The 22680-nt window shown below is 39.8% G+C and overlaps 1 protein-coding gene across 5 annotated transcripts in view, besides 1 other annotated feature; it reads right to left on the reverse strand.

Moving 5' to 3' along the window:
• CUBN (cubilin) overlaps positions 1-22680 on the reverse strand; it is a 305846-nt gene that overhangs the window by 89091 nt on the left and 194075 nt on the right. For all 5 annotated transcript variants that reach the window (NM_001081.4, XM_011519710.3, XM_011519709.3 and 2 more), the window contains 9 exons: positions 20031-20228; positions 15101-15247; positions 12528-12718; positions 12185-12368; positions 6907-7081; positions 5566-5744; positions 2765-2974; positions 1976-2116; positions 755-936 (listed from right to left, as the gene is read on the reverse strand). In NM_001081.4, the coding sequence (NP_001072.2) occupies positions 755-936; positions 1976-2116; positions 2765-2974; positions 5566-5744; positions 6907-7081; positions 12185-12368; positions 12528-12718; positions 15101-15247; positions 20031-20228 (1607 nt within the window). The remainder of the gene's footprint in view (positions 1-754; positions 937-1975; positions 2117-2764; positions 2975-5565; positions 5745-6906; positions 7082-12184; positions 12369-12527; positions 12719-15100; positions 15248-20030; positions 20229-22680) is intronic.
• Positions 15905-16498: an enhancer, noted in NCBI's record as "OCT4-NANOG hESC enhancer chr10:16970960-16971553 (GRCh37/hg19 assembly coordinates)". NCBI's record gives its function as "activates a minimal SCP1, AML or CMV promoter by ChIP-STARR-seq in primed H9 embryonic stem cells {active_cell/tissue: H9 hESC(primed)}" and the evidence as "EXISTENCE:reporter gene assay evidence [ECO:0000049][PMID:30033119]".

Here is a 22680-nt window from a genome sequence, read left to right on the forward strand (position 1 = left end):
AATGGGACTTGCTTATAGATGCCATATAGGGTGTGAGAGGAAGGATTCCAAAATAGACATCAAGATTTTTGACCCAAGCAACCAGAAGTTTGGAATTATTTACTGAGATAACAAACACTGCAGAAGGGGCAAGTTGGGTGGATAAATTTACTAATATTAATCCAATCTTCCTATCTACACACACATATGTGTGCACAGCACTTCACAGTTAACAATCTATTTGTTATTCACACTCAGGGATCTCATTTGCTTTCTTTCACTGCAGGAAGCTGAGAGTGCTGAAGACACATGTGAAACCACTGGAGGTTGGTGACATGGAGGTCACGTAGCAGTGCTCTCCCACCAAGAGTCCCTCTGTACCCCTGGAGAGAGCAGTGCTTATGCAGGACCACCCACCTGCTCAGAACTTTCGTGGTGGCTTGTGCTGTGACTCTGGTCCCATTCAGCTGTGTGCTGCTGTAGGCTTAGCTTCCCACAGCCTCTCCGGTTTTGCCATTTGTCGTGATCATTCACTCTTAAAATTTATTCTATGACCCTGATGCACAGAGTGATAGCTGATAGTCTCTTCAAACAACTTTTACAATTATTTTGACAGGTTACTGTGATTTTGTTCTTTCAACAATACTTAGAATTTGTCTGAGTTATAGTTGCATAGATGGCAATTTTCCTGACCTAGTTTTCTGACTATGATTTATGGGTCGGTAAACTCTTTAAATGATGGAATATAACATCTCAGGCGGCAGGGAACACTTACTATCACATGCTCATTGTTGCAGGACGGATGCGTGGCCAGCCTCAGGTTGTTAAACATTAGGGTGATCCGCCTTCCCTCCGGGGCAGTGATTCTCCACTCGCAGATCCGGCCATGAGGATTTGGGTTCGGGTAGTTGGGAGAAGTAAATGTTCCAATAGAGCCCTGAAGATCCCCACCACACTCTGACGTGGGGAAAAAGCCAAGAAAACTTTCAATCAAATCAAAATGTTTCCTTCCATCAAGAAAGCTCTCAAAATTCAGGTATTTAAAAATTATCCTTCTAGATAAAATTAGTCTCCATATTTATTTATGTGCATGAGGATTTTAGTGAACATATACATTCATTTTTTATCTCTATTAATATTTAACCCTGCCTTCCATGGGTGATAGTCCACAGGCAGCAATTTAGTTATCATCATGGCCCAAGAAATGAGAGACCAATGAATGTAATGAACTTAAGAATCAGGAAAATCGGGCCAGGCATGGTGGTTCACACTTGCAGCACTTTGGGAGGCTGAGGCAGGCAGATCACAAGGCCAGGAGTTCAAGACCAGCCTGACCAACATGGTGAAATCCCGTCTCTAATAAAAATACAAAAATTAGCCGGGCGTCGTGGCGTGCGCCTGTAATCTCAGCTACTCAGGAGCCTGAGGCAGAAGAATTGCTTGAACCCGGGAGGCAGAGGTTGCAGTGAGCTGATATCATGCCACTGCCCTCCAGCCTGGACAACAGAGCGAGACACTGTCTCAGAAAAGAAAAAAAAAAGAATCAAGAAAATTGGCCAGCAGTGGTGGCTCACACCTGTAACCCCAACACTTTGGGAGGTCAAGGCAAGACCCCATGTTCACAAAAAAAAAAAAAAGAGGAAAATCAGAAAGTTAATGTTAAGTACCCAGTTTTTCTGAACAAGATCTTTATTTCATTTGAGTTTGTTGGGTTTGCAGTAAGACAAATTCTGAGTAACTACAGGACTCTCTTAAGGTGGGCATTACAGTATAACTCTCATCCTCTTATTATCTCTCTCGTGATACTAGTTATTTTCCCTTATAGCATTGATCACAGCTGTAATTTTTCATTTATCACTGTGAATTTCTGATTAAGGTCCAAGAAAATAGGGGTCATGTTTTGTTTTGTTTTTCAAATATTTTAACACTGGTGCCTAGCATAGTGTCTGTCCAATGCAGGTGCTCAATGTTGTGTTGAATGAATCAATGAACTCACCTTCCATACTGGATTCAAATCGCAGTCTGAATCCTGAGGCAGTCACAGAGCCGTCTGTGACAAACCTGACCACAGCAGTATTGCTAGAAGTGTCTATGCTGTCAGGAATGGTGTTTCCACAGTATCTGCCCAAGATGTTTCCTGTGAGAGACAAATAATTAAATATACATGTCCAAGTGATTGATTTCCTTTACCCTCTATTCAAGGTGTCCTGTGTGTACAAAGAAAATAATAAAAAACAAGACCCTGCCTATGAAGAAACGTTAATCTCTGTCAAGACAACAGGAAAACATGAATAAAAATGAACATATTCAAATACATGAAGAAGTGAAAAAAATGCAACCAATTAGGGGAAGGATATCTCAGCACAATGAGGAAGGCTTGCTCATTTGGTTGAAAAAATGATCTGAGACAACAGTGACAAGTATCTGCCTTATGCTACCACTAGGAGACATGCATGATCCCTTCCCCATCTCAAGCTATAGAACACCCCTCAAATAACGGCATGTGGCAATGGGATGTCTCAGCAGCAAGAGGTGCCTTCCCACTACCGTTGCTCTCCCCAAGTGGCCTCCAGGGTGGGCTATATGACACCTGGGCTCTGGGCATCCATTGTTAATGGTAGAATTGAGGGAGAGAATCACCAGTACTGCCCAAAGCTCATTAGTCTGCACTTCTCTGCAGAGTATAGATGTGCTTTTGCCTTTCTTGGAAGTGAAGAAACTTCAGAGGCTGAATAAGTACATGTGAAAATAAACACCCAAAAGAGAGCAGATATATTTTACTAACCAGAGGTATGATTGTCCCAGATCTCCACGAAGTCTTTTTCACAGCCAGAAGAATTCTGAAGGTTAAAGTCTTCAAAAGAGATGGTGAGATAGTGTCCAGAGAGCCCCTGGAGATGCCACTCACAGAATAAGTTGTCTCTGTATGGAAGTGTTGGATGTCCAATGCTTTCAACAACACCACTTTGCCCTGGTACTCTTCCCCCACACTGAGCTGCAAAAAATAAAAATAAATAAATAAATAAGAAAGCAAGCAAGCAAGAAAGATTGATTCTATTACAAATTTTGTTTTCTTCATTTCACCAGCACATTTGAAAACTTTTAGGTGCCAAGTGACTCTGAATTGAAGTTTTAAAAATTCTGAAAACGGTTAGTGCTTTCCTCATTATTTGAATTCTACTGTTGATGTAAACAGAAATGATACCACAAGTCCAATACAATAATGGGAAACAGAAGATGATGACTAAATGGAATATTCTGTAATGTCACATTAATTCTTTTGGGACACTATGTAAGAGCTAATAGTCGCAAGTAAGTTTCATCTCAAGAACCAACTGATAGGCTGATCTGGCCTGCCTAGTACCCTGTGTTGATCCTAAAGACTGAACCCAAGCTCAGCTGGAAGGGGTACTGTGGGGACACCTGCCATTCCTAGTTTTACTCTCAACTAAACAGTTCACTACAGTAACTGATATCTCAGGGCCTTGAAAATTACTATTCAATTATGTCTTATTAGCTGGGTGTGATAGCTAATTGAATTATATGCAGCTTGACTCAGGATATAACACGATCTATGGTGTAGTTAAACATTGTTACCACTAGGCTTTCTGAACTTTCGCGGTATTAAATATTTGTTTGGTTTGTGTCTAAACCTATTAGATACCAAATTATGTGCTATTGTGACCATATTATAGTGAATCTTCAACCGCTCATTTTTTAAATAAGGAAATCAAAATGCTGAAGAGGCATATTTGCTTTCTTTTTTTCTTTTCTTTTTCTTTCTTTTTTTTTTTTTTGAGACAGAGTCTTGCTCTGTCACCCAGCCTAGAGTGCAGTGGCGCAATCTCGGCTCACTGCAACCTCCGCCTCCTGGGTTCAAGCAATTCTCTGCCTCAGCCTCCTGAGTAGTAGGAATTACAGGTGCCCACCACCATGCCTGGCTAATTTTTGTATTTTTAGTGGAGACAGGGTTTCACCATCTTGGCCAGGCTGGTCTTGAACTCCTGACCTCGTGATCCACCTGCCTTAGCCTCCCAAAGTGCTAGGATTACAAGCATGAGCCACCATGCCCCACTGACATGTTTGCTTTTTATCCAGTGACTGATTTGGCACTAGAGACTCAGAGAAAAAAAAGGTTAATTATTTTATATTTGATGAGGAATTCAAAGACACTGTGCTAAATAGAGTTACCTGGTTCTTAAATGGTTTTATTACTTAAAGTAATAAACATACTGCATTTCTTCCTTTTCCTTGGGGGATACATTCCAAGACCCCCAGTGAGTGCCTAAAGCCTCAGATAGTACCAAACCCTATACAGACATATAGACTGTTTTTTTCTCTATATATGGACCTATGATAAAGTTTGCTGTATAAATTAGACATAAGAGATTAACAACAATAACTAATAATAAAATAGAAGAATCATAATAGTATACTGTTAGAAAAGTTATGTAAATGTGGTCTCTCAAAATATCTTGGTGTACTGTACTCACCTATTTTTGGGCCTCTGTTTACCAAGGGCATTGAAACCATGGAACATGAAACCATGGATAAGAGAGAACTACTGTATTTCATAGTAAGCTGAAGAAACAGGAGTTTGATTTAACCACATATATTTCTTCACAAATAAGTTAGAGAAAATATAAAATATTTAAGTTTACTAAGATTACTTTTTAAAATGAAAATTAAAAGAGAAATTAAAGTTGATTAATGACTGTAGTTTCAAACATTTACACTCCTTACTTATTTCTAGCATTAAAATATTTTTAAAATTAGGCAAATAGACTTATTTTTAAAAAGTCATGGTTTTTAAAAAAGTTTTAACATATTCATTCTATAATAACTCTTATTTAATATAAAAATGTTTCCCAGGGTTTTTATAGTTTCGTGTTTTACAGTTAAGTCTTTACTCCATCTTGAATTAATTTTTGTATATGATATAAGGAAGGGGTACAGTTTCAATCTTCTGTATACTGCTGGCCAGTTCTCCCAGCATCATTTATTGGATAGGGAATCTTTTCCCTATTGCTTGCTTTTGTCAGCTTTGTTGAAGATCAGATGCCTGTAGGTGTGAGACCGTATTTCTGAGCTCTCTACTCCATTCTATTGGTCTATGTGTCTATTTTTGTACCAGTACCATGCTGTTTTGGTTACTGTAGCCCTGTAGTATAGTTTCAAGTCAGGTATTGTGATGCCCCTAGCTTTGTTCTTTTTGTTTAGGATTGCCTTGGCTATTTGGGTTCTTTTTGGGGTCCATATGAGTTTTAAAATAGTTTTTTCTAGTTCTGCAAAGAATGTCATAATAGTTTGATAGGAATCCCATTGAATCTGTAAATTTTGGGGAGCAGTATGGCCATTTTAATAATATTGATTCTTCCTATCCATGAGCACGGAATTTTCTTTCATTTGATAGGGTGGAGGGTGGGAGAAGGGAGAAGAGCAGAAAAAATAACTATTAGGTACTAGGCATAGTACCTGGCTGATGAAATAATCTCTACAACAAACCCCCAAACACGAATTTACCTATATAACAAATCTGCACATGTACCCCTGAACCTAAAATAAAAGTTTTAAAAAAATTATTACCTATAGAATACTTGGCCTTGAATCCCACATGTGTGGGGCTGTTGTCAGATCGAAATCTCAAATACATAACCTCTCCTGAGGACCACTGACTGCTGGGCAAAGATGTCCCACAAAATTTGGAAAGTATTGGTGCATCCGAATCCACTCCATCCCGCAACTCAAGGTAGTTGGAAGTACAGCTGAAGTGGGAACAAAATTCTGTTAAATTTACATGGTCAGATGCTTATTTTGATAATGACAACCTTACTTACTTTCTTTGAAGATATTATTAAATCATCATTTCTTAGCATAAAAAACTATGATAGAATCAGCATAAGCCATGTCACTTTAAAATGCTGTATGATATTTTTCCTAATAATACATTCTTTTATTAGTAGCTCAAAAGACAGGTTTTACATGTTCTACATTCAAGAATATTTACTTCCCTTCCATATTCTGTATTGGTTTTACAAACATAAATGTTGCTTTCAAATTAGTCCCTAGGAATTTCAAAAAACAACAAATATTTTGTTCCACACAATGACTTGATACATTTCACAGGACAAAGATAAATTCTCTAACAGCTCTGTAATTGGGACTAATGGAGCGTCCCAACTGGAATTTTCTGTGTCCATAAAAGTAGATAAGCATGTATCTAACGTTTCTTCAGGAAGTCACATTAGCCAATTAATGCTCCATGAGTGGAAAAGTAGTATTAGACCCAGTGCCAGAAATAGCAACAGAAGATCTTATATCCAAGTTTTGCACCACAGCTGCATTCATGCAAATGTATACATACTTTTGTTCAAGGAAAGAGAAAAATGTTTTCTACGATCAATATAGTTTTTCTTTCTCTTCAACATAGTAAGACTTACTGTTTTGTAATCCTTTCAGAACTCTTATTAAATAAAGACTGAGAAATTATACTGTGCATGCTTTAGTACTGTTCCGACAGTGCTGACCCCTGGTGACACACCACACAAATTCCCATTTGTTAAACAGACATTTTATCATTTGTGACACCGAATATGAGGCTGGTCAAATAAATATTCATCTATCAGAAACATGATATATTTCCTGTGGGAGGAAGAATGGATAACATCAATCTCAAGTAGCCACCCTCAGTGTCCCTTGCAGGAAGTGTCTAGGGTCACAAGGGACAGTATCCACGTACATAACCGGCTCAGCTGATGGGAGAGTGGCTGGCCGACTGTGTTTTCAGGCCTGAGCCATTAAGCATTTCCCTTTTCCCCTAGATTTCCTTGCAGTATGTGCTACTGAAAGAAATGGACTGTTTTGAGACATGACGGTTAAAAAATACTAACTTGGGGTAGGAAAAAAATGAAAATGGAAGTGACATACTTGGGTGTTACTTCAATATCGAATCGATCTTCAAATTGCAGCTGTATGCGTGTTTCCGGTGGAGCCGCTAAGATCCAAATGCAATCAGCGTGCGGGGGATAATTATGAGGGTGGTTGGGGGAGGTCACATACCCAGCAGAATCAGCATCATGGATGTAGACGTTGCCCCCACAGGCTGTGAGCAAACACACTTAAATCAGTCTATGATCTGGTGAAGGGGATGCAGTCAATGGCCACAAATCATCTTTTAAAGTCGACTTCTCTGTATTTTGTCTCCATTTCCTTTCATCTGTTATGATCCTCATTTTCTTTTCCAGCAAACAAATTCTCAATTTGCTATCGAGGGAGCTACGAGGTGTGACACTTTTTATTTTGCCAGACCATTTATCTATTCTCATTGGAAATTTCATTCTTTCTTAAAGCCAACCAAATGATTATGGCACATGGTGCACGGGGCAGAACATCACAGAAGCATGAATAAATATCCACCACTTCGATAAGCATGTAAGTATGCTAGCAGTTACAGCTTCCCACTGAGCATTCAGTACAGCAGAATGATGCAGAGCTATGATCTTGGTATATTTAAAAGACTAAGCAGATATATCTTTGCACAACTCGGGGAGCATTCATTCATTAGATTTCTTCAGGATTTAGATGCATTTGAGAACCAAGATCAATGGAATGAAATAATTTATTAGTAATGTTATGCCAGAGGATAAAGGAGCTTTTTAATATTTCTTTTCTAAAAAACCAAAGCATTATCAAAAAATATTTTTCTATTATCAATAAATATTCTTTGGCATTTTCAACAAACAAACCAGATAGGAGTAAAAGTACTTACAATGCCAATGAAATTAACCTGTCCAATCACTTAGCCATACACATACTTGATCTGCTCAACTCTAGAACATTTGTGTCCACTGTCACTCATCCACTTACAGTCACATCCTGAATTCTGTCATACTTCCAACTCCCCCATCTCTGAAACTCTAAATTGCAAATCCCTTTGATGAGCTCCAACTCCCTCGCTTCGTGTCTTTCCTTCAAACTTCCCTTGCAAAATACCAACTCCGTGGTTGTGTTCAATTCAAGCCATTCATTCATGGAAATTGATGCCCCTGCAAATATATGTTCTCCCATCTCAACACAGCCAAGCAATTCACCCATTACTTTTCATATAAACTACAATGGCTGTTTGGAACTTTACTCCCTAAGCCCTTGACTTTCCCCATTTCCTCTTGATTCTAAGCACATTACATTAGGCTCCACTTTACAAAGAAAGTAGAAGAAATCAGATGAGAATCTCTTCCATTTGTTACCCCTAATTTATTACTATCCTCAATAAATTAATCTGCATCTCTACACTCTATTTTTCCCTCTGTACATTAACTTCCTGTATCTCTGGATCAAGTTCCCATCCTACTGTCTCCTCCAGGATCTTGCCCTATTTAATCTCTCTCTCCCTATCTGTCTGTCTGTCTCTCTCCTTCTCTCTTTTTGCCCTTCCTTCTTCAACCCTATGAAAGCACTCATGTTCTCCCAAGTCACCTCACAGTTATATGCCCAAAGAACTTTTTAAATTCTTATTTTATATCCACAGCATTTAACACAGTTGATCACACTGTTCTTCTTTACATTTTTGTCCCTTGGCTTCTGACACCAAGCTCTTCTCCTCCTTTTACTCTTCATGTCATTCTTCCTCTGGCCCTTGGGCGCATCTCTCCAGGGCTTCCCTGACATTGCTGGAGGCCCTCAGGAATCCTCCTGTAGGCCTTTCATCTCACTCTGAATAATTCCCCAATTGCTGTCATACATCCTCATGACTTAAATGATAAGCAGTCTGTTGATTATTCCGTATTTACAGATTCAGTCTAGATCCCTGTTCTGACCTCGAGATTCCTGTTCCGACCACTTACTGGGCATCTCCAATGGAGGTAATTCAGAGATTTCAAACTGAACTTGTCTCAAATGAACATTCTCATTTGCTCGTCATCCAGAGCTCCATACCTGAGTCTGCTGATGACAGCATCAGCCCCTCTTCCTATGGACACTCTGCATCCACTCTTACTGCCTTATTTTTCTCCTTGATACCTTTCACCATATGGCATATTATATATTTTACTTATTTATTGTCTGCATCTTAACACTAGAATTAGGTTCCATGAGGACATGGATTTTGTTTGTTTACTGCCACATCCCCGGGGCCTGATACAGTGTCTGTCCCATGGAAAGTTCTTGATAAATGTCTGTGGGAAGAATGGATCCACCCAGCCAAAAACCTAACAACTGCTCCTAAGGCTCCTCCCATCCCTTCCCTCCTGCCTCACATCCAACTGACCGCCAAATTCACTCAATCCTGTATTTATAATATCTTTGATATGCCCTCTCTCCTACCTTCTTACTGCCATTGCCTTAGTTCAGGGAGTAAATTTTTTCCCTAAATTACTCTTTCATCTGGTCTCTCTCTCTTCAGCCTTCCCCATCTCCAATGTTTTCAGTGTTGCAGCTACATTAGTGTTTTTAATCTGATCACGCTGTTCAGGCTTTGGAGCAAAAACTTCCAATGCCTCCCATAACCTTTTGATTAACATCTTAACTAACTGAGGGTGGCATCCAGGGCCCTGAGCAGAGTGATTCCTGCCTGCTTCATCACTATTATGTTTATCTCTTTTTGACTCTGATCTCTAGCAGTAGTGAATTCTTTCAAATTATTGAATATGACTTGTAACATTGAGATTTTCTATGCATTCACATCTTTTTATCACTGATGGGCAAATCTCTTCATCCACTTCCCCTGGAACCCTCTCTGATGTCCTGGGCTGAAGTAGGTGTTTCTGTTCTGTGCATTCCTCTTTCTAGCACTTATTATACCATATACCATGTTCTTTTTTTTTTTTTTTCCTTTGAGACAGGGTCTCGCTTTGTCACTCAGGCTGGAGTGCAGTGGTATGATCGTGGCTCACTGCAGCCTCAACTTCCCGGGCTCAAGTGATCCTCCCAACTCAGCTTACTGAGCAGCTGAAACCACAGAAGTGCGCCACCATGTTCAGCTACTTTGAAAACTAAGGTCTTTCTATGTTGCCCAGGTTGGTCTCAAACTCCTAAGCTCAAGTGATCCTCCTGCCTTGGCTTCTCAAAGTGCTGGGATTACAGGCGTGAACCACCGTGCCCAGCCTTATATCATGTTCTAATTGTGCCTTTGCTTGTCTGTCTCCTTTACCACACTGTGAACTCCTTGGCAGAACTCGGTGGTTTGCATGATGTGAAACACCTTGTAAATGTTTGACTAATTAATTAACAGGCCTATTAATCAGGTGAGAATAAAAGGCATCTACCACAGGGTCCTAGAAATCTCAATCAACCATAGCGAAGGAGTGTCTCTGGAGAAAAATGGTATAAAACTAGGTGATTTGATGTCAAAAAATGTTCACAAAAGGACCTAGGTTAAAGGCTGAGAAGTGGGAGTGGCATGGAAATAGATATGGTGGGAAGATAGCCAGATAGACGTGGGAAGTAGAAGGCTGGCTATAGTTATGGAACAATCTTGAGTTGGTAAGTAGAGAGAAATAACAGTGATGCTGTTGTTTCAGGTTGCCAAGAACAGGTTGTGAAATCAAAAGACTTTTAAGTCTGATGTTAACAGCAGTCATAATAAGCTTCAAGAAAGACAGGGAGAAAGTAATGGCCATAACCATACTTGCATGAACAGTGAATCCACAAAGGAATAGAAGAGGTGCAATGTCAAACACACCCTTAGTGTATCTCTTAGTGTATCTGAATTACCACTAAATGTTGACTTTAAAAATATAAATCAAACTGAGTCTATTGGCTGAGGACGGTGGCTTACTCCAGTAATCCTAGCACTTTGGGAAGCCAAGGCAGGTGGCTCACCTGAGCTCAGGAATTCAAGACCAGCCTGGGCAACATGGTGAAATCCCATGTTTACCAAAAGTACAAAAATTAGCTGGGCATGATGGTGCATGCCTATAATCCCAGCTACTAGGGAGGCTGGGTCAGGAAATCACTTGAGCCTGGGAGGCAGAGGTTGCAGTAGGCTGAGATCATGCCGCTGTACTCTAGCCTGGGCGACAGAGAGACCCTGTCTCAAGAAAGAAAAAAAAGACTGAGTCTATTATAAACAAAAACAAAAGAGTAGAGTTATGTAGGATGGGTAGGATGGGCTGACGTCTACTCACTAGACTCAGGACACTGCTACTCTTGAAATGCTTTGGTACCAGGTGAAAACTGCCCATTCATGACTCAGCTGCAAAGCTCAGCATCAAGAGATGGAGGGATGAGAAGGTCCCAGCTTAGAAAGCAATGGCGCGGGTGCCCACAGAGCTGCATTAAAGCTCCCTCCTTGTGCCAGAGCTCTGGGAAGTGACCAAAGCTCCTTCCCTGGTGTTCTGGACCTTACTCAAGCTATTTGCTTATTTTTGTGTGTCAGTTGGTGAAGACTCTTATTCATCTCTTTTACCAAAATAAAGAAACCATGTTGACTTTAAATCTCATACAATGTGCAATAAAACATATGATTTCATTTACATATATATATATATGAATCTGGGATTCAAGTCATAGGATCATTTTGAAATCTATATTATCTAACTTCTGGTGGGACAAAGGAAAAATTTATTATTATATTACTTTCTACTGACATTACTCCCTTTTTTTGAAGTGATGCCTATTTATTTATTTATTTATTCAATTAAACATTACTAAAAAGCAAATGTCATCAAAATCAAATCATTACAGTAGAATTAAATGCAATTATAATCAAGTGTAATTAAGTACAAGCAATTACAGATATCATGTAATATATAATTAAATCAGTAATAATAGAATCAAAAAATTATGTGTTCTTTTGAAAACAGCATACAAATTATTACAAAATAAGGCAAATGTAAGTCTTATAATGTTTCTGTAACTAGAATTAACTTACAATTAGACATCTTATAATGGAAAGGTCTAAGGAATTCCAGGGATCAAGAAGAATAGTTTATTTTATACTCATGGAAAATTTCACTTTGGTCACTAATTAGGTATGTGGCCTTGGAAAAGTCCAAGCCTCATTTTATTTATCTTTAAAATGGAAATAATGATACTTTACTTGAAAAGTAGTCACGATGAGATATTGAATGTATCAAATATAATAAGTACTTGAGAGTAGGCATTCTTATTAATTCTATTACTGTTGGTTCAGAAAAGAAAATTTTATATCAAAGAAGATCAAGCAATTGCAGGAAAAGCAGATATAATTCTCAGTGAAAATACTTACCTAAACTCTTTGCCTCATATTTGATTTTAAATCCTTGCCCTTCATTACTGTGATCAGAAATAAACTGAACAAACATTTGATTATCCGAGGTGAACAGAGTTGATGAAGCATGACTGCCACAAAAATGACCATTTCCTCCAGGGGGTCCCAAGGGTGGAGAACAGATATCAGGACCATTTCTTAGCTGGAAAGACAAATTAAAATTTCATCAACTCCTTTACATTGCAAAAGAAGGAGTACGCAATTCTTATCCATTTATGTCCCAGGAGAGAAAAATTATCATTTTGTTTTCTGAATGAAGTCTATGGAAAATGTAATTAGAAAGGGTAGCAGCAAGACCTACCACCAAGTAATCCCCCTGGTTGCAAGAAGAATCTCCATTTGGAATCTGGAAAGGCTGTTCAAAATGGACAGCAATGGTCAGGCCACTTTGGACCAGGACGTGCCAAGAACAGTTGAGGTTGGATGGGTAAGTCTCTGGATACTTGGGGGACGTGATGATCCCTCTGTCTGCATGCAAATATCCACCGCAGCCTTCCCACAAAGAAACAAAGGTCGGTTATTTAAATAGCATTGGCAACTGGATTTTTATGCTTTCTTAGTTTTCTTGGGGGGTTTTCAAAGTGGAGGCAATAAAAATGCTTGAAAATAAAGCCAGAGTGCAGGAAATGATTATCATAACAAGCATGTATTGAGCACATGCTATTGGCTACTCAGTTTGTGGTGGTCATTGAGATCTGGGATACAGAGGTAAGTAAACAAGACAAATTACCTGCTTTCATAAAGATTTCTTTATAGATGGGGAAGACATACAATAAACAAATACATGATATGTGAGATGGTGATAAATTCTATAAAGAAAAATGGATGAGAGGAGGGAGAAGGGTACTTTATTGTTAGAGTTAAGTTAGAAAAGCCACGTCATTGGAGTAACATCTTAGCAGAGACATGAATGAAATGAAGGATCAAGCCAGATAGTTATGGGGGAGAAAACATTCCAGTTCAGAAAACAGTGTAAAGGCTTGATGTGTTAGAGGTACATCATGGAAGTCAGAATGGATGAGGCAGAATGAGAGATTCCAAAGGTAGCATGGCTAGGTCATGCAGGAAACTGAAAAGACTTATTCTGAATAAGAAGAGGAAGATGTTGAAGGGTTTTGGGCATCAGAATGGCATGATCTCACTTAAGTTTGAAAATGTCACTCTATGTGCAGTCCTTAGACTGTAAGGGGTGGAGGACAGGGAAGGACAGGAGCAGAGTGTCCAATAAGGAGGGGACCGCCTGAGGCCAAGGAGAGATGATAGGTGCACGGGCTAGGCTGGTAGCAACAGAAATGGAGAGGCGTGGTTGGAATCTAGATACATTGTGAGGGTAGAGCCAGTGTGATTTGTTGATGGTTAAGTGTGAGACAAACAGAAAAGTCAAAAATAACATCAAGATTTTGACTTAAATAATGAGAAAAATGTACTTTCCATTTGCTGAGATTATGAGGAGTGTAGAATTGGGGGGTGGTGGCATGGAAAAGGGTGGGAATAAAGTGTTCAACTTTCAAAGGTGAAATTTTTTTTTCTATCTATCTATCTATCTATCTATCTATCTATCTAGTCTAATTGGGATACAAGTGGTTTTTCGTTACATGGATGAATTGCATACTGGTGAAGTCTATATTTTAGTGCACTGGTTCCCTGACTAGTATACATTACACCTAATATGTAGTTTTTTATCCCTCATACCCCACCCATCCTCCCCACTTCTGAGTCTCCAAAGTCCATTATACCACTCACAGGTTAAATTTGAAATACATTCTAGACCGGGAGCTGCCAAGTATGTATATATACATAGACACACACACATATTTATATATATTATATACATATATAAACACACATATTAATTCCAATGGTTCCACCCTTACTATATACATACATGTGTATACATGTATGTATGTATAATGAGTTGCGATACATAGTAATATATACATGAGAGTGAGAGGGCAGGAGATAAAGGAAGAGGATAAAAGGAGGAGGCATTAATTCTCCAGTTGTCAGGGACCAGAAGCTCATCAGTAAGGGCAGACATCTCACACAGCTAGTTAAATTGTAGAGGTGAAAATGTATCTTAGGTCTAGTTCCAAAGCCCATGCTCTTAAGCCACTATGCAGCCTGCCTCCCTTGAGCGTGAGGAACACAACTTATCTTCAGTTGCTCCCTACTTTATAAAAGGTATATATAAGCATGGAGGAAATATTAGATTAATTTTTAATGTTAGATTGAGAATCTACTTTAAAATTATGTTTTTTGATCAAAACATGAGAGTCTTTCACTCTTCCTTGGACTACTTTATCACCTTTCAGTTAGTTTGGATTTAAGGCTGTTACTGGACTTCACATGTCAAGTTTGAAAAGTCTCAATCATACTGTGCATGATGGTATCCCATATATGGTGCCCGCTTTTGACTCATCAAATTCATATTTCAAGAGCAACAAACTCTTCCTGCCAACCCTCAGATGGCTGACTTCAACCAAGTAATTTATGAGAATAAATGATGACGTTTTGCTCCTTCGATGAGTTATGGATATGAGCTGTGCTCTATCTAGTTCCAGCCCTCAGCTAGGCTGAAAAATTGCTTTAAAGCTCTCTCTCATGCATTCCCTGGACACACCTCCTTTGGAGCGAAGATGCCACACCAGAGACCTGAAGGCAGCACACTTTTGTACGACTTGGCCCCAGTGCTTTGGATGAGGACTCAGCACTGATGTAAGGGGAGCCAGCCATCCAGAGCCTGGGCAGAGACCCATGTCCTCTGACTTGTCTTGTGTCCTGGTGCCCAAAAACATTATATTAGGAAGAGAGAAAGAGAGAGGAAAAGAGAGGAGATGAGATAACATGGGATTAAAAAATATTTGAACTCATTACTCTTGTGAAAGGATGCATTGAAGCCTGCCCTGGTTACACTGGAGTCCGAGGTGAAGCGGATGAACATGTACTCTCCAGTAGACCGGATGGGCCCAGGGATCTCTCTGCCACAGAGAACTGCTAGCTGCTGGGCCAAGTTATTATCTCCTACGTTGAAAGAAAGGGAACAACATGAAAATACATCTTGAGAATCTACTCTACAATCATTTGCAGCTTAGCCAAAGCAGCTCACACATTTTTCTCAGAACATCAGGACTCGTAGGAGATAATGGGATCCTCAAAAAGAAGGACCCCTCAGGGGTGATATCATTCTGGCTCCAGCTTGCAATGGTGCTTCCTGCCCTTTTCTTTACCCCCACCCCACCCCACCCCCCCCTTTTTTTTTTTTTTTGAGATGGAGTCTTCCTCTGTTGCGCAGGCTGGAGTGCAGTGGCACAGTCTCGGTTTAATGCAGCCTCTGCCTCTGGGGTTCAAGTGATTCTCCTGCCTCAGCCTCCTGAGTAGCTGGTTTTATAGGGGTGAACCACCACTTCTGACTAATTATTGTATTTTTAGTAGAGGCAGGGGTTTTACCATGTTGGCCAGGCTGGTCTTGAACTCCTCATCTCAAGTGATCCGCCCTCCTCAGCCTCCCAAAGTGCTGGGTTCTTTACCCTTTTTGATAAAGACGTCTTTGACAGTTTCCACCGTCTTTCTAAAAACTGGCTGCCAGTTCTCCCTGTCACTAAAACTCAAAATCAGAGTACCTGGGATTGGGAAGCGATGGAGACCCAGTGATGATATGTCTGTCGATTAGAGACTCTGACCTCAGTTACTCTGATTGCTGAAGGTCAAGTAGGTAAAAGAAAAAAAAAAAACAGTTGGCTCTTTGACCTCAGATCCTACACTAATGTTACAATATCATTCACCAAAAGGTATGCAATTGTATGTGCCCTTTCTTCAGTGCCAGTGGGGTTTTTTTAAACAAAACTTTTCATCTGTGTTTGTTCATTGCTTTTGTTTGTTTTGGTATAAAAACAACCACACATTTGTGTGGAGGGTGAGAGAAGAGTTCCAGCAACTGTGCCCCACCCCCACAGAGACACAAAGGACAGCAGGGGCACCACACGTCTCCTTTCATCTTGATTATCTTGGATATAAGCTTTGATCAAAGCCCCTGTGCCGGCTGAAACCAAAATGGAGCAAAGGGGATTATAGCAGACTTGGATGCCGTGGCTGGGAAAATATGTTGTTTTTTTCTCTTTTGTCCTAAGGCAGAGAATTAATAAATCTCGAGTTTATAAAAAACAAAAATAGAATATGAGACATGAGTAAATATGCCCTTTTATACAACCAGCCACATGGATTCTTTGTGGCACTGACTACAACTTGAAACTCATTCATTATTAACCACTTTAGAAAATAAGTTATTTTCTATTCTTGTGATTACAAATGTAATGGCAGAGTTATAAATACAAAATGCTCAAAATGGCATTCTTTGGAGGGTTTCTGATCGCTGGAAACTTTTGCATTCTTTATAATTCAAAAGTGTATCTCTTATAGTTCTTTTGCATTTATAGTAAGTGCACTTCATTATGCTATTTTGCTACACATTTCACCCAATATTATTTTTTGTTGACTTATTCTCTGATTACCTGTACTACAAAATTTTGAAGTTTATTATATGTTATTAGTTCACGTGTATATTTTATCACTGGATGAAAGTGAGTTGAGTCTATTGATTTTGATTTCTTTTCTAAAATTCACTCCAGATCATCTGGTGAAACAATGCTTATCTCAAAATAAGTGCTTGTTGATTAGCCTACTCATTAGTGGGAAGATGACCCAAAAATCACAGATGGTTTGTTACTTGCCCATCCACCCCTTCAGTCTTCATACTGAGTACTGGGGTATTTCTGGAGCCTTCCAAAACCTCAACATATAGATTGCAGAAAGATTGAGCCTAATCTTGAGCCTAATCTTTAAAGAGGAGGGGAAGTCAAAGAACAGTAAAGGCTAGCACTAGAAGGCAACTTGGCAATTCTTTCTCTAGTCCAACCTCTTCAATTTACAGATATAGACACTGAGGCCCCAAGATTATTCAAGACTGACATTTATTGAGCAATTAGTATATACCCCTTTAAGTGCTTCACATGTACTATCTGATTTTATGTTCACAGTGACACTATTAGGTGGGCATTTATTTTTATCCCCATTTTGTATATGAGGAACTGAATCTTACAGGAGTTACAAGCCACTTTGCTGTATGCAAGGGCATAGAGATAGAAGTTAACAGTGATGTTAACCTTTGCAGATTAACCTCAGATGCCCCAAAACCATGCTATTAAATGATTTATCTAAGGTCATGAAGAAAGTACACTTAAGATCTGGAACTAGATTAAAGGATTACTGATTTTTTTATACAATTTCTTTTCTATTTAAAAGTTTTGCTAGGACCAATGTAGTTTCATGGACTCTCAGTTTGGAGGGATCTTTGGTATACAGAATGGGTAGATGCGTGGTCTGGAAGAAACTGATTCATTTTGAACCATGGCAACTCTATAAAATGAATAAGCAGGTGGGACAGTGACTCAGTTCTCCCAAGAATGCTGCATGACCCTCTCTGGGGTAGCCCAGGAAGGTTCACAGCCTCCATACGGCCAAAGGCCTGTGATGACAGGCCAATTGCATGAGCAGGAATAGCCTATAAGTATCTTTGTCTGTGGCCAGTTGGCTTTAGATATTTGCTTCAGAATGTTACATGCTTCTGCTACTCAGAAGCAAAAGGCTGGCTGGGCAAAGAACAAATAATTGAAGTGGGATTTAAAATTTAGTCATAGGCCAGGTGTGGTGGCTCACACCTGTAATCACAGCACTTTGGGAGGCCAAGGTGGGCAGATCACGAGGTCAGGAGATCAAGACCATCCTGGTTAACACAGTGAAACCCCACCTCTACTAAAAATACAAAAAAAAAAAAAATTAGCTGAGTGCGGTGGCGGGTGCCTATAGTCCCAGCTATTAGGGAGGCTGAGGCAGGAGAATGGCATGAACCCGGGAGGCAGAGTTTGCAGTGAGCCAAGATAGCGCCACTGCAGTCCGGCCTGGACAAAAGAGTGAGACTCCGTCTCAAAAAAAAAAAAACATCAAATTTAGTCATAAAAATATATTAACAATGTGTAAATGACTACAATACTCACCAACTGACACAGACCAGGCACTCAATAACTATTTCTTGAATAAATAATTAAACAAATGAGGAAGGAAGGAACCTTATTGAGCATCTACTCACATTGCCAGTGCATAAAAAGGAATCCATACGGAAAGGCCGCATAACCACTTTAAAACATTTGTGTTGTTTTGGCACGCACCTGAGTTTCTTTAGCTCTTTCAAGCCGCCCTGTGCCTGAGCAAGGGCACTGATTAAACCTCTCTTAGAAATTTCCATCTAAGTAAACTGAAATCTAAACTATTCCAAATTCATCATCTACAAAATGCTTGTACTTTTGCTAAAAAGATTTCATTTATTACTTTCCTTAATCCTCAGAAAAAGCCTGTGAGGGAGGTATTTGTCTATCTCACAGGTAGAACGGGTTTGGAGCCACTTTGTGACCTGTGCAAAGCCACACAGGAAAAAAGGACTGCTCCCCAGACTCTCTGCTTCCAAGAGAAGTTAGTGATGGAACAAAAACAACTCAATGGAATGTGATTTTAAAAGAATAACCATAATTTACTTCATAGATGCAGTTACCTACTTAAGATTTTTTTCAAAGATATTTTTTAAAACTTCTAGTAGGTTCTGAACACTAGAATATGTGTGCAAGGATGCACATCCTTTCCATTACATGAAAAGTTTTAAATTTCAGTATGCACAGGAAGGCTTAGATGTGAAGAGGGCATTCTGGTGCTTTGATACTCCTCTGTGCAACGTGCTGATAGCCGATTGCTGATGGGAAAAAGGGGGAGTGTCATGCTTTGACATCTCATCATGTGTGTATGATTGATTTGAGTCTCTACTTAGTGTTCTGCCTCTACAGAAGGGACATAAAGCACCTTCACCATTCGATTTTTCTCACTCGGCAGGGGTCTAGGGATCAGGGATAAGGGAGACAAGATCTTGCACACTAGCAACCTGTGGGCCAAAGACAAACACGTTTCTTTTTGCTGAGAACATGTACATCTAACAAATGATGCTGTGGATCTGGGGGCCACACTGAGAAATACTGACGTGGAGGATGTGGCCTTTCTGCTGTCCTCCTTCATTCCAGTCCATGCAGACTGTGAAGCCCAATTTTGTATAAGGCATACATCAGCAATATTTATGTCTCTAACTTTATGTCACATAGCAACACCATGCCTGTGTACAAAGGAAAGAATACAACAATATCACCCCTTAACTCTACCTATTCTACCCACATTCAGGGGACAAAGAGAAATGAATACATTACTATTTTATATTCTTCTTATTATTATTTTAGAGACAGGGTCTCATTCTGCTGCCCAGGCTGGTCTGGAACTCTTGGACTCAAGTGATCCTTCTCCTCGACCTCCCAAAGTGCTGGGATTATGGTGTGAACCACTATGTCCAGTCACATTACAATTATAAGTATTTTTTTCAGCCAGAAACATAAAATATCAATATTTATCTCAGAGGTATCTCAATAGGACAGGTGAACAATGTTGACATTCAGACTATTCTTTCCTTCTTAAGCCTCTAAAAAAGCCTTTTTTCCTTATAGAAATGTGCTATTCCTGATATTCTGTGACCGGTAATTTAATACTTTCTATGTCCTTCAGAAGTTGTAGCCATTTCTGGTACTGATGCCTTCCTTGACCATAATATCTGTGTAATTCCAAACCAAACGGATGGAGGCAGTATGCAAGTCTGATGATAATGGACTAGAACTAATTATGTGTCAGGGTTGAAACTCAGCATTCTTTATAATGTTCTCACCATCTCGTATCACAAGGCTATCATAGGCACACGTTCGGTGAGATTCAATGTCCAGGGAAAGAATGTTGAGTTCCACGGTAGAGTCGGGAGCCTGGATGAGCCACGTACAGTCCACTCTATTACTGTAACTGTCAGGCCAGCCCGGGGAGAAGAGAAACACGGGTGCATCTCCCGTCCTCAGGAAGCCACCACAAGCACCTGTAGAATAGAAAGCAACATCTTTGACACAGCCCTAATGGAAAAGACGCTAGCTAGCACTTTTTCACTTGAAAGTGACAGCCCTCTACTGAAAAGAAGCAACCAATTGAAACAATTTCTCAGAGAAATCAATGAATATCGTATGTAACCCACTGATTCGGAAAGCTGCAATTTCCGCAATTGATCTTTGATGTAAAAAAAATGCATTGTGTTCTCCATTTTCACCATAATTTTGCTATATAACCCATTTAATATCAAGTGCTGACTATTTAGGCATCAATAAAGACACGTAGAGGATCCCCTGTATTACTGAGGTAGAACTGTATTCATTCCTGTGTTTCTCATGTTTCTTTATCATTTTTGCGTAGTTACTTTTGTAATTTATATCTAGGCAATTTTGAGTTGACAGATTAGGTCCTTCTCGGGGTCTATTTTTGGGCATGTGCACAGCTGGGCTATGTGTGTGGCCTTCTAGATTTCCAGAAACATGTCGGAGCTTTTCAAAGCCCCAGTGGGCATCTCCTTCCCCATTTTTTCCTTTCAAGTTTACTGGTCAGTTTCTCATTAGCTGTAACTGGTGTCACTGCCTTGCACGGTTGTGATGTGAAACAGCTGTTGCTGATTGTTTTCGGCAAAGACCCCAGGGACAGGGCTGTTTACAAAAGAGTGAGCTCTTGCCCAGGTCCTGTGAAGACAAGACCTGAGAATGCAGTTTTCCAGGAAGTTGCTGAACTGGAATAATGGCAATGCTGAGGAGATGCGCTGTTTTCTGGACCTCTGCGGCCCCACCACCCACAGCTGTTAAAGCTGCTCATTTTCACAGCTACTGTGGTCATGAGGCTACTACAAAGCTAGGAGGAGAGAGAGAGATGGGAATAGGAAGAGAATGCCACAAAAATGACTCTTACTTAGATTCAGTGATTTTTCTTGAATAAATATGCCGCAGATTGCTATAAGGCTTTGGTCTATTTCCAGAGTTCTCAAAAAGTTGATTTTAACAATTATTTTTGCCATCACTTTTATGTAGCAATATATTTCAGAGATCCAATCTTCACCATTTCAGAAGTTTACAACTTGTACACCATAATATGTTTGAATCTTATCAGGGCCAACAGGAAGTGAATATAAAATGTTGTAGAACTAGGTCCTGATTTCTTTACCCTATTACTATGTAGGCTACAGATTTTTTTAAAGCAATTTCACATGGAAAATCTGAATGCTGAATGTTATCCAGTATCTTCAAATTTTAAGGTTTTCCTCTATGTGAAATATTTCTTATCTTGAATTTGTAAAATATGGTTATAATGACTGTGGGTCATTAGTGCTGTTTGCCAAATATTTCCTTTGTCTCCACTTCCAAACACATGGTAGAACTGCATTCTGCAAGTGGCTGAGAGAGGCCATTTGACCAGTTTTGGCCAATGAACTATGAGCAAAAGGCATGTGTTACTTTACAGTGAGCACTTTTAAACCGAGACATCCAAGGGCTCTTTTGCCTACTGCCATGGTCTCAGGCAATATCGCAGACAATGGCAGCTCCAACAGCCTGAGTTAGGAAGTGATGGATGATGAGAGGCACCCAGTTAACACGAGAGGAACATGTAGAAGGAGACCTGTTGTTTTCAGCACCTAAGAGTTTGAAATTGTTTGTTACCGCCATATGGCTGAGCTTTTCCTGACTGACACACTGACTGCTTTTCCTACTTGACACATTGAATTTCCTTCAGTTGACCCTAGTCCACAGTAAGCTCATTTTTCTTCCCTTGCTTATTTGCTACTGTTACCATTTGCTTTGTCATGTACCCATTTAATTACGATACCATTACTTAACTCACATATGAGTGTTTTTTCTTTCCCAATCTCTTTTATTTATTATTTATTTTTACTATTTATGTATTTATTTTTAGGACAGGGTCTCACTGGAGTGCAGTGTCATGATCACTGCTCACTGGCAGCATGTAGGCTCAAGTGATTCCCCTGCCTCTGCCTCCTGAGTAGCTGGGACTACAGGCATGCACCACCATGCCTACCTAATTTTTTTAATCTTTTGTAGAGATGGGGTCTCCCTCTGTTGCCCAGGCTGGTCTCAAACTCCTGGGCTTCAAGCAACCCTCCTGCCTCAGCCTCCCAAAGTGCTGGGATTATAGGCATGAGCCACTGTGCCTGGTTCCCATTACTTTTAAGCTCCTGGAGAGTAGAGATTGTACCTCATTTTCCTTTCTTAGTCTTCTCAGTGTATCCATAATAAATTCTCAATAAATATGCGTTGATTTAAAATAAATATATGTGTGTATAAGAAATGCTGATAGGACAGGACGGATGCAGTGGCTCACGCCTGTAATTCTAGCACTTTGGGAGGCCGAGGTGGGCAGATCATGAGGTCAGGAGATCGAGACCATCCTGCCTAACACGGTGAAACCCCATCTGTACTAAAAATACAAAAAAATCAGCC

Source organism: Homo sapiens, chromosome 10 (assembly GCF_000001405.40).
Source record: "Homo sapiens chromosome 10, GRCh38.p14 Primary Assembly".
NCBI classification, from domain to species: domain Eukaryota; kingdom Metazoa; phylum Chordata; class Mammalia; order Primates; family Hominidae; genus Homo; species Homo sapiens.